The sequence below is a fragment of the Homo sapiens genome, chromosome 1, assembly GCF_000001405.40.
Source record: "Homo sapiens chromosome 1, GRCh38.p14 Primary Assembly".
Lineage (NCBI taxonomy): Eukaryota > Metazoa > Chordata > Mammalia > Primates > Hominidae > Homo > Homo sapiens.
This window is the reverse complement of record NC_000001.11, coordinates 158,416,263-158,428,807: the sequence shown is the minus strand read 5'-3', so window position 1 is coordinate 158,428,807 and position 12,545 is coordinate 158,416,263. Positions and strand designations below refer to the sequence as shown.

Below are 12,545 nucleotides of genomic sequence, written 5' to 3'. Positions count from 1 at the left end.
GTCAAATCATAAATAAGCTCCCATTCACAATTGCTGCAAAGAGAATAAAATATCTAGGAATACAACTTACAAGGGATGTGAAGGACCTCTTCAAGGAGAACTACAAACCACTGCTCAAGGAAATAAGAGAGGACACAAACAAATGAAAAAGTATTCCATGTTCATGAATAGGAAGAATCAATATGGTGAATATGGCCATACTGCCCAAAGTAATTTATAGATTCAATGCTATCCCCATCAAGCTACCAGTGACTTTCTTCACAGAATTAGAAAAAACTACTTGATCTTTCATATGGAACTGAAAAAGAGCCCATATAGCCAAGACAATCCTAAGCAAAAAGAACAAAGCTAGAGGAATCACACTATCTGACTTCAAACTATATTACAAGGCTACAGTAACCAAAACAGCATGGTACTGGTACCAAAACAGATATATAGACCAATGGAACAGAACAGTGGCCTCAGAAATAACGCCACCTACCTACAACCATCTGATCTTTAACAAAACTGACAAGAACAAGCAATGGGGAAAGATTCCCTATTTAATAAATGGCACTGGGAAAACTGGCCAGCCATATGCAGAAAACTGAAACTGGACCCCTTCCTTACACCTTATACAAAAATTAACTCAAGGTGGATTAAAGACTTAAATGTAAGACCTAAAACCATTAAAACCTAGAAGAAAACCTAGGCAATACCATTCAGGACACAGGCACATGCAAAGACTTCATGACTAAAACACCAAATGCAATGGAAACAAGAGCCAAAATTGACAAATGGGATCTAATTAAACTAAAGAGCTTCTGCACAGCAAATGAAACTATCATCAGAGTGAACAGGCAACCTACAGAATGGGAGAAAATTTTTGCAATCTATCCATCTGACAAAGGGCTAATATCCAGAATCTGCAAAGAACTTAAATAGATTTACAAGAAAAAAACAAACAATCCCATCAAAAAGTGGCCAAAGTTTATAAACAGACACTTCTTAAATGAAGGCATTTATACGGCCAACAAACATATGAAAAAAAGCCCATCATCACTGGTCATTAGAGAAATGCAAATCAAAACCACAATGAGATACCATCTCATGCCAGTTAGAATGGTGATCATTAAAAAGTCAGGGAACAACATATGCTGGAGATGATGTGGAGAAATAGGAACACTTTTACATTGCTGGTGGGAATGTAAATTAGTTCAACCATTGTGGAAGACTGTGTGGCAATTCCTCAAAGATCTAGAACCAGAAATACCGTTTAACCCAGCAATCCCATTGCTGGGTATATGTCCAAAGGATTACGAATCATTCTACTATAAAGACACATGCACATGTATGTTTATTGCAGCACTATTCACAATAGAAAAGACTTGGAACCAACCCAAATGCTAATCAATGATAGACTGGATAAAGAAAATGTGGCATATATACACCATGGAATACTATGCAGCCATAAAAAAGATGTGTTTATGTCCTTTGTAGGGACATGGATGAAACTGGGAACCACCATTCTCAGTAAACCAACACAGGAACAGAAAACCAAACGCTGCATGTTCTCACTCGTAAGTGGGAGTTGAACGATGAGAACACATGGACACAGGGAATGGAACATCACACATTGGGTCCTGTCAGGGGTTGGGGGCTAGGGGAGGGATAGCATTATAAGAAATACCTAATGTAGATGATGGGTTGATGGGTAAAGCAAACCACCATGGCACACATATACCTATATATCAAACCTGCACGTTCTGCACATGTATCCCGGAACTCAAAGTATAATAAAAAAGAAATTATATTAATTGCCAGTTGAACCATGAGGAAAGTGGAAATCAGAAATATTGGAATTCAGAAAATGAATGATGGTATTTTTATTTAGCTGAGATATTTATGTAGTTGGGGTATTGTTGAATACGACCATTTATTCACTCAATATTCAGCATAAGTTTATTTAGTGTCTCATACATATAACAGCACACTATATTCATTTATGGATGATGGAGTAGAAAGGTAGAAAAAATCAACTCGGGGTTAAGACGGTGAACTGAATCTCCTCCAGCTTATTCTGAGCACAGTCTTCACTCTAAAAAGCCATTGCCCAGTTTACCTTCTCAGCCTAACAAAGAACTATCTTTCAATTATGAGTACAAAATCAGATTTTCAGTTAAACCAACATGTTTTACAATGCATCTATTATAAAATGTCTGCATAAAAATTCTCTTTTGTCTCTTCAATAACATAACAAAATGAGAAATAAGCTTAAAATTAGTCACATTTTCTAAAATTGCTGCATCTGAGGATGGCTTAGAGCCTTCTGCTCCCTAAGCCCTAATGTCTGGGCCCCGTTTTGAGCAATTGGGCATTTAGTGACTTGCCTCTATTTTCCACAATCAACTCAGTAGTTAATTAAACCCAGTGCAATGTCCCCATGGCAATGGCTTTGGCATCAGGAGACCCACAGAAGAACCACCTGCTGCCAACAAACATAATGAAAATTCCTACTGCTTTATGGTCACTGTGAGCTGTGGCTTGTGATCTTTAGTCAATTGACATAAAATGGCAGGAGACTGGTTACATTTGACTTTGGTCTGGGTCTAAGACCATAGACCATCATCACATCTCTACCTCTGAGTAAATATCAGTAGCCTGTGACCCATTTTGACCTTTTTCCATTCTACACGTCAACTTGAATTCTGTCTCTTGTAGCCTCTATGTCCCTGGCTTCTCTTAGGGAGAGGCAGAGAAAAATGGAAGCACTCCATGAATAACAGACATCCATCTTGCTTGGACTAAGCATCTACAACCTTGAGAAACTGGGCAATGGACAGGAAATGAAAATAAACATCTATCCTCTGGCAGGACTTATGTTTTCACATTTCAGGTAAGAGAAGAAGGGTGATGAGCCCATGCAAGTGTACTACCAATAACAGAAAGAGAGACTCACAATTAAAAGTACATCAAATAATGTTAATCAGGATTATTTAAGTTTTAAAGTGTTTTTCTGCAAAATTGTGCATATAAATTTTATATATTCTTAAATTAACTGATTCATTTTTCTTTCTAAATTTTTATATGCACTCTGTTGGTTCTGATTTAATTTGACAGGGCACTCAACAATATTTTAATTAAAAATTTTAAATAATGACGTTTTTGTAGAAAGGACTGTATCAGATAGGATCTACACAAAGATATAATACCTAATATGTGCTGAGAACTTAATAAATGCTCTGAAAATAGTTATAATTGACAGATATAAAGACTAAGAAACCCTGCCCTCTGGGAACCCAAAAACAGAAACAGGCAAAAACACTAGCACAAGGACATAGACTTAGGAAAAGAACACCGTAAGTAACTGCTGCCAAAAAAGAGAAAGTAATTATGGATGAAACAAATATCTTCAGAAGGCAGGATAATACTGTGGAAATCACATTCTTCTGAAAGAGAAAAGACCTCTGTTCCATTGCTAACACATCCACTCAGTTGCTTTCTAGTCTTAGAAACTTCATAGCACTCTCTGAAGCTCAATTTCTTCATCTGTCTGATGAAACTACTAAGCTAGATCTTTAAGATCATATACAGCTGTAACTGTGACTCTGGCTTTCTGGAGACCTCTTGAGTAAGAGACAAGAACTACTGCAACATACCTTTCCCAGTCCTGAAAAATGAAATGATCTTTATTTTATTAAATCCCTCCCAAAACCAACAAAGGTACAGGAAGCAATGTGAAAGGTATGTTCTTCTCAAAACTAGCAGTGCTCTCTGCCCCTTTTCAATTCCAAGTTAAACTTACATAAATAATGTCTGTGAAACCACTCAACTGTTACAAAAGCATTGTCTCATCCATTTTAAAGAAATCTTAAAAGTTAGGTTAGCTGACATCAGAATGAATGAACCGCATTACAAAGATGAGAAAATTGATTCAGACTCATCAAAGTCCTGTAGCTAATACATAGCAAAGTTGAAAACTGAGGCCATAACAAAATTGTAGCAGAAGTCTTTTCCTTGAAATAGCTTTATCTGGAAGGAGAGTGTTGAATACTGCTTTCCCTTTCTCACCACACACACACACACACACAGATTGTACTGTAGTCTAGTGTTGGTTCCACCAGCTGTGTGAACTTAAGAGGAGTCCCCAAACTCTGATTCTCAAATTTCTTATCTTTATAATAAAGATATTAAAAGTAATAAAAACTTCATAAGGTTGCTGTGAGGACCAAATGAGAGAATATATGTAACAGTATTTTCACCAAATCTAGAACAAACAGAGCATGTGATAAATGTCAACTTGCCTTACATTATTACAAGATAATTCTAAATTTTGATTAATAAACTGATACCAAAATTGTGTTCTATTTTTTCTTCCTGGAAACATCAAAAGCAATATTGATAGACACAATGGAATAATGCTCCCAAAAAACATAACTGAGTTTATTTTTTCTTTGTTTTTGTCTACTTGTTTGCTAGTTTTTTGAGTGTGTGACCTCAACATGAAACATGAAGTTTATTGTAAGGAAACAGAAGAAGAGAAAAGGGAGAATAATTAGTGTGTCTTGTTTCATGGGCCTTTGTAAACTTACATTTTAATTCTGAAAGGCCAGTCAACATTAAAGAAAAGATTAGTTAGTTCAATCAAAATATCTAGATAAGTAATGGCATTTAGACTCAGCCAGTACTTTTATTAAAATTCTTACAGGTGAAATTCAAATACTACTTGTTCTTCAAAGCCTTCTCTAAAATTATTGGGTTTTTCCTCCAGATTTTCAGGACATTTTGTTTATACTTATTTTATAATGTTTATAGGCTATTTTATAATATGAATAGGTGTTTGATTCTTCTCTGAGAAAAGGGCAATGATTTTATTCATAATTATATCTATAGTGCTTAGATAGTAACAGAAATCATGAAATCGTAAAACATGAGAATTGTTAGACAATCTGCCCCAGTCTTTAGGAACTCAATAAATTGTTGAGATTGATGCCTAAATATGTATGGCCTCCCTTCAAGAGCAAAACAGAACTCCGTGGAAAACCAAGTTACTTTCAGTCAGGCTTGGAGAGCCTCAAGGGAAGAATAATTTCTCTTAAATTTTCTCTTCCTGAGAAAATACAGAAAAATCAGTTTCAATAACTTCCCATGAGTTAAATGCTTATTGCCTCACTGATGAAAATATTTCTGATACCAATACCTATAGAACAACAATAAAGTAATAAAACAGAAGTACTTACTAAGCACTCCTTATTTATGGGACAAATCTCTTTCATATATATTGCCTGAATTAATTCTCATGATAGCCCAGGAGGCAGGAATTATTCTTATCATACAAATGAGAAAATAGGCCTTAGAGAATTTATTAAGGTTTTACCACTAGAACTTGCCAGAGTCAGGATTAAAGCCTACATCTGTCAAAATGTAAAGCCTATTTTATTCCTACATTACTCAACTTTACATGTGCTTGTGAGAGGAAAATTTCAGATTCTACATGTAGAAATTTATTAGTAGTACTAAAAACTAGAGAATATAGAATTTGAAAGTTAATAGTATGATAGTAATAAATATGCCAACCACCTAGGCAAAAAAAAAAAAAAATATTGGGCGAAGAACCAGAGGAATAAGATAGAGGAGGAGGAGGGTGATTGCCCCTTTCATGGGGTTGAGGAAGGGAGTGATATAAAGTAGAACATGCAAGCAGAAAACATCCTTGCACTCTTCCAGGAGCAAGGAGAAGCAAATGTACTTACTTGCCCTATTTATATATTTAGATTAAAAGTTTTAGAAACTAAATAGTGCCTGTGTTATGATATTTCTCCAAGTATACTTAGTTCAGCCTTTTCATAACATATATAAAGAAACCTAGAAATAAATAAAAAATACATATCATTTTTCAAGGATGTATACAAGATATGTCTCCTGAGTGCTCCTATAATTTCAAATGCATATCCATCATCTCAATCACCACATTTTTAATAATATCTTCTGAATGGGTCTCACCCTTGAAACATGAACTAGAGGCTCGGGACTGGGTCTTATTTAAATGTGTATCTTCATTGCAGACCTAGTAGCTGACACATTGTTATAATCACACTGCTTAATACATGTGTACTATCTGATATTCTTGATTTGGTGGTTCTTAGGTAACATAAAAATGCATTGTCATTAATTTTGTTATTAATATTAGTTAAGGTGATTTTAATAATATACTTTTAATGGGATAATTGTAAGGTTATCTTTATGATTTTTCTCTCACTTATTTGAATTCTAATTTGCTCTACAGAGCAGCAAATGTACTAGGAATTGGGAATCACCTTAGGTACACAGAATTCTGATGACCAGATGCTCTCTTCAGTGCCAGTTTTCTATTGTAAACAGAGATTTCTCTTTCAGATTTAAATGGGCCAGACTTAGTTTTATGTGGTGCAGACATTCTTAGCATTCTTGACACTGAGCAATTCTTGTGCCTAGAAAGAAATAACACTGAGAATTCTCTTACTCTGTGAGTTCTAAGAAGTCTGTGCTGCCCATGAATAAAATAGATAATGTGGCAAGTTAACTCTCTTATTTATATAACAATTATTTATTGAGAAGGTGTTAAGTACTTAATATGGTTCTAGATGCAGAGGAGAACTCAGGCAAAGATACATAAAATTCACATATTTTCCTCAAAGGTACAAAATCTGGTAGAGAAAATAGATATAAGAACAATTCATTAGAATATTTCAAAATTAAGTAAATATCACATAATTTTGGCAATCAATGTCTTATGTGAGTTCTGAGGAAGAAACAACTCCTTTCACCAGAAGGTAGCAAGAAAGCTTTCAAAAAGGTAGATTTTAATGGAGGCTTCAGAAGAACCATAAAATATCTGTAAATAAAAGTGAATAACAAACTAATATGAGCAAGGAATAGAGGCAAGGAAGTCCAGAACATATTTGGGCAATAGTGATACATCCCATTAAGGTCTGAAAATGAGCACAGAAAGATAGTTTATTTCCCCAAAGGAAAGACTTTTGGAAACAATGAAGAGTTTGAACTCTATACTATAGCCATAAGTAAAATTTTTGAAGAGTGAAGCAATATAATACAATTTATATTTTAAAAGATTAGGCTGTCATCACGGGAAAGATGGGTTGCAGAGATGTAAGAGTGGCCATGGGAAAGGAGCCATAATGTGACTTCAGAAGGATTTAAGGGAAGTGATGAAAATGGACAGAATCCTGAAGAAAGATTGTGGTCCTCCCTGCCAGAGGAAAGACTCTGATATAGGTATTAGAGAAAGTGTAGACATATTCCACCTTGAAATTAATGAATAGAAAGAAGAAGATAATTTTTTTCCACTTTGGGACCAGGATAAAGCTACAGAAACAAGAGCCAGCATAATAAAAGTATAACTGACAATTCCTGCCAGGAGGTAAGGAAAACAGTGTTGAAGAGAATTTGAATCTAAGTTATGGAGAGACTAAAACTAAGAGTGGGGGTTTAGGTGTAACGAGAATGACAATTAAGAACCATTGAGTTATAGACAACTATGGTATATTCAGATGGTTTACTTTGCAACTGTAGGAAAGATTTTTTTTTTGAGAGAATACAGATACAAGAAAGCCAAAAAGACAAGCTTTGCAAGATAATCTAAGAGTGAAAGGCTAAGAATCTGAGCAACAGCCTCATGATGGGAATGGAGGTGAAGGGTTGTTTGAATCTGAAAAGTATCAAGAACTTTTTGGCTATGGTGTTAGAACTACTATGGAGACTCAAAGTTTGATGAACGCTTGCCTGATTTTAGCAACATCATGTCTTGGAAAAACAAGAGGGAGGAGAAAAGATGAGTTCAGAATTCAAAATCTGAGAACGCATGCTGATGATCAATTTTCTGTGAATCTACTTATTTTCAGGGATTTCTTTTGGTGCTGACTCCTCTTCTCTCCCTAATTGTCTCCTGATGATGTATGCTCCATGGAGCGGGTCAATGAGACTGTGGTGAGAGAGGTCATCTTCCTCGGCTTCTCATCCCTGGCCAGGCTGCAGCAGCTGCTCTTTGTTATCTTCCTGCTCCTCTACCTGTTCACTCTGGGCACCAATGCAATCATCATTTCCACCATTGTCCTGGACAGGGCCCTTCATATCCCCATGTACTTCTTCCTTGCCATCCTCTCTTGCTCTGAGATTTGCTACACCTTCATCATTGTACCCAAGATGCTGGTTGACCTGCTGTCCCAGAAGAAGACCATTTCTTTCCTGGGCTGTGCCATCCAAATGTTTTCCTTCCTCTTCCTTGGCTGCTCTCACTCCTTTCTGCTGGCAGTCATGGGTTATGATCGTTACATAGCCATCTGTAACCCACTGCGCTACTCAGTGCTAATGGGACATGGGGTGTGTATGGGACTAGTGGCTGCTGCCTGTGCCTGTGGCTTCACTGTTGCACAGATCATCACATCCTTGGTATTTCACCTGCCTTTTTATTCCTCCAATCAACTACATCACTTCTTCTGTGACATTGCTCCTGTCCTCAAGCTGGCATCTCACCATAACCACTTTAGTCAGATTGTCATCTTCATGCTCTGTACATTGGTCCTGGCTATCCCCTTATTGTTGATCTTGGTGTCCTATGTTCACATCCTCTCTGCCATACTTCAGTTTCCTTCCACACTGGGTAGGTGCAAAGCTTTTTCTACCTGTGTATCTCACCTCATTATTGTCACTGTCCACTATGGCTGTGCCTCCTTTATCTACTTAAGGCCTCAGTCCAACTACTCCTCAAGCCAGGATGCTCTAATATCAGTATCCTACACTATTATAACTCCATTGTTCAACCCAATGATTTATAGCTTGAGAAATAAAGAGTTCAAATCAGCTCTTTGTAAAATTGTGAGAAGAACAATTTCCCTGTTGTAAAATTAATCTTGATTCTGGCCAGGTGCAGTTTCTCACGACTGTAATCCCAGCATTTTGGAAGGCTGAGACAGGTGGATCACCTGAGGTCAGGACTTCAAGACCAGCCTGGCCAACATAGTGAAATCCTATCTCTACCAAAAAATATACAAATTAACCGGATGCTGTGGTGGGCTCCTGTAATCTCAGCTACTCAGGAGCCTGAGACAGGAGAATCACTTGAACCCAGGAGGCAGAAGGTTGCAGTGAGATTGTGTCACTGCACTCCAGCCTGGGCGACAGAGTAAGACTCTGTCTCAAAAAAAAAAAAAAAAAAAAATCTTGATTCTGCTCTTTCCAAACCGTAAACCACAAGTTATACAGGAAAAAATTCCCAGAACACAAATGATCAAGCAATTGAGCATTATGTTCAGGAACATAGATCATTTCCCGTCATCTCCAAATATAAAATTTAGAAAAACACAACTGCTTGCCACACTCACATGAATTATTGCCTATTGAAGGTTTTTTTTCAATTGATTAAAAAATAACAGATGGCTATTATGGGGAAGCATATGTATGTTCAGAATTTTAGGCTGTAGTAAATACTGTCACCCAATCTCAGCCAGGCTGAAAACTAACCCTGCAAAATGTGGCACAACCCTAACTCTCTGTTCTAGGGACTCAGGAAGCTTCTATCTCTAGGATTTTTCTAGATGTTTTCTGGACCTCAGTCTTCCAAAATCATCAGATCACAATTGTTAAATGAGATACTTGTTAAGCGTCATTACAATGTTTGATGCATAAGATATATCCAAATAATGTTCAAGTTAGAAAATTATGAAAAGTTATCCATTTCCATGCTTCTAGTGTATTAATGAAATACGATCATTTCTAATTTTGTATGCAGAGGCATACATCTAAATTTGGTCAGCATACCCTGAAGATATTCACAGGGGAATGGATTAATGACAAGACCTAAAATCACCCTAAATGACCAGGCAAGGCAAGCTAAAGATTAAGTCAATTTCACTAAATATTCACCAAGTGGAAAGCTTTGCATATGGAACAATCAATCTGTTCTCCATGCAACTCAAGAGTTTGCATGTACATTTGAGACCAGAACTTGAATTTGATGTTTTCATTCTCTGTCCTTTCTGCAGGAGTGATAGCAAAAAGGAAGTTTCACAATAGTGATGATTTCTCACATTATAACTCTTTTCAAGATCCACCTGTCAATAAAAGTCTCCTGATTGATTAATTTTGTTTCTAAGTTTTTTCCTTTTCTTCCACCAGTCTGTTCATCAATGACATATACCTTTTAGGGGTTGAAGCGGGAGGGAAGGAAGTGGAATGTTTTGTTCACAGGCCCTGTTTATTGTAGGACATCTGCCAAGAATGTAAGTCAATTGCATTTCTTCCATTTCTTTGAAGCTTGAAACTTGCTGCTGATGGGGGTTGAAAATCAGAGATTGATGCAAAATTAATTTCAGTGGCCCCCAAGTTGTCTTTTCCTTGGCCATATTGCCCACCCCAGGCCTCTAGCATATCAAGTTGATTCATGAAAAGTAAATGAGCTAAGTTTAATGTGTTAATTATTTATAGCTGCATTGTGTGCTACAGTTTAACAATGTTACTTCATCTAAACTTTAGAGCACACTGGGAAGTATATATTATAATCGACATTTTGTAGATGAGAAAAATGACACTCAGACAAATAAAATGACTTGCCTACTAATGAGTAAAAGAATTAATACTGAGTCCACACGATATATTTTCTTTATTAATGCTTTTATAATGCTCTCACATGACCTCTTGAAAAGACTGTGATTTTTTTAATTAATGGAGTAGAATGTGTAAGTATTCACCTTTAACAATAGAAGATTAAGCCATGGGTCATCTGTGGGAAGATATACTCTTGATGTTAAATAGTCTTTTAAACCTTGTTTCTTTCCAAGAGCTGTGGATACTATTATTTTGGTGTCTGACACCACAACACTGACAAGTGGGCAGGACCACTTTGTGTTAAAAGGTCATGAATATAAAAAATGACTCTCCTGGCATTTTATCCTTCCTCTTATTTTTTCCATGTGAATGAAAAATTAAGTTGACATTGGCCTGCACTCCCATGTGTTAAAACTGAACATCTTGCTCTCTCTGTTCCTCTTTTCACACATGTGCATACACACATATCTCTATTGTCCAGTCATATGTAATTTGCAGGAGAGGGGTAAGATTTTTAGATTTGTAGTTGGCCTTAGCAAGAGAGTAAAGTCCCTTAGGCCTTCTAACTAGGCCACATATGCCTGTTTAGCTTACAGAGAAATCTGCACTTGAATTTTAAGCATAAACTCAACCAATAATAATAAATTGATGTTTTGAATTCCCATTCATCATAGTCTATTATGTATATATGTTTTTGAATACATTATAGGGAAAAGAAAAGGTTATACCAAGTTAGGATTATGGAATTTCTGTTACCTTGGCCACAAAAAATTATAATAGCACTAAAACTAGATTTGTAGCCTATGAGGCTGGCTTTGGACTGATTTTCTAAGACATCCTTTAACATTGAACAGATCGATGACAATTGAAATCATAAGACAGCTCTCACCAAGTGCCAGGACAAGTACACATTTACACTAACAGAAGGCAACCCACATAATAGCTGTTTTCAGTGCCCCATATAAACCAATATCCAACCCCTCAGGTAAATTTTTATTTTCAAAAAAACATTTAGCGAAGAATCACATTCCACTCCAACTATCACCTTTAGATATCTCTTCCCAAATCTCTCCCCTAGATTGCCAGCCTCCTACTCCTTCAATTGATCCTACTTTCTCTTCCTCAAACCAAAAGCTTTTTTTAAAATAGATTCAACAGGCACATGTGCAGGTTTGTTATATAGATATATTGTGTGATGCTGAGGTTTGGGCTTCTAGTGTACTCATCACCCAAACAGTGAACATTGTACCCGATAGATAATTTTTCAGCACTAACCTCCCTCTCACCCTCCCTCATTTGGGGTCCTCAGTGTCTGCCATTTCCATCTTTATGTCCATGCGTACCCACTGTTTAGCTCCCACTTGTGAGAACATGTGCCAATCCTGAATCTCTACCAGAGTACCACTTCCGTTACTCACTCCATCTTATGCTGAGCATTCCGTTTCTCCCACATATCATGGAAGTCTAAAGTGCTTACCCACACTCAATATTCAATGTTATATTCTGTTATGTCCGAGGCTCTAACTCTCAAGGGTAAGCCAATAAAACAAAAGTAATGGCAATTATTTCAAACAGAACTGGTTTAATATAGGGAATTGCTTACACGAATGTGAAAATTTGTAAAAGCAAAAAGGGATGCTAGGGCAACACATTTGTATAATTAAGGAAAATGGCTACTCTGCTTAGACTTGCAATGGATGGAGAAAATGTGGTGTTAATAGAAACCAGGAGTTCAGAGAAGAAACCTTGGAGGTCCAATGCTAGAACCTTCCAGGAGTGGGAGTGGCCTGACAGTTGATTAAGTGATCTATTGGGTATACCCAGTGGGTGTGGGAGCATGCAGTAGTATCATGATTACCCAGAGGATTGGCATGGATGTGGCTGGTACCTCTGAGGGAACACAGCAAGTTTGGCACTAAGAGTGTTAAAGGAAACTGGAGGCTGGATCCACAGCTATCTACTGC

General features: G+C 36.8%; 1 protein-coding gene across 1 annotated transcript; it reads left to right on the top strand.

The window, feature by feature from the left end:
* The first annotated feature begins 2,570 nt into the window (after window positions 1-2,570).
* Window positions 2,571-10,598, top strand: OR10K2 (olfactory receptor family 10 subfamily K member 2). The gene is made up of 2 exons (NM_001004476.2): window positions 2,571-2,875; window positions 7,881-10,598. The coding sequence occupies exon 2, from the start codon at window positions 7,942-7,944 to the stop codon at window positions 8,878-8,880; it is 939 nt and encodes a 312-aa protein (NP_001004476.1). The 5' UTR covers window positions 2,571-2,875; window positions 7,881-7,941; the 3' UTR covers window positions 8,881-10,598.

Coding starts and splice junctions, on each gene's coding strand:
- OR10K2 (NM_001004476.2), top strand. CDS start 7,942: ATGGAGCGGGTCAATGAGACTGTGGTGAGAGAGGTCATCTTCCTCGGC.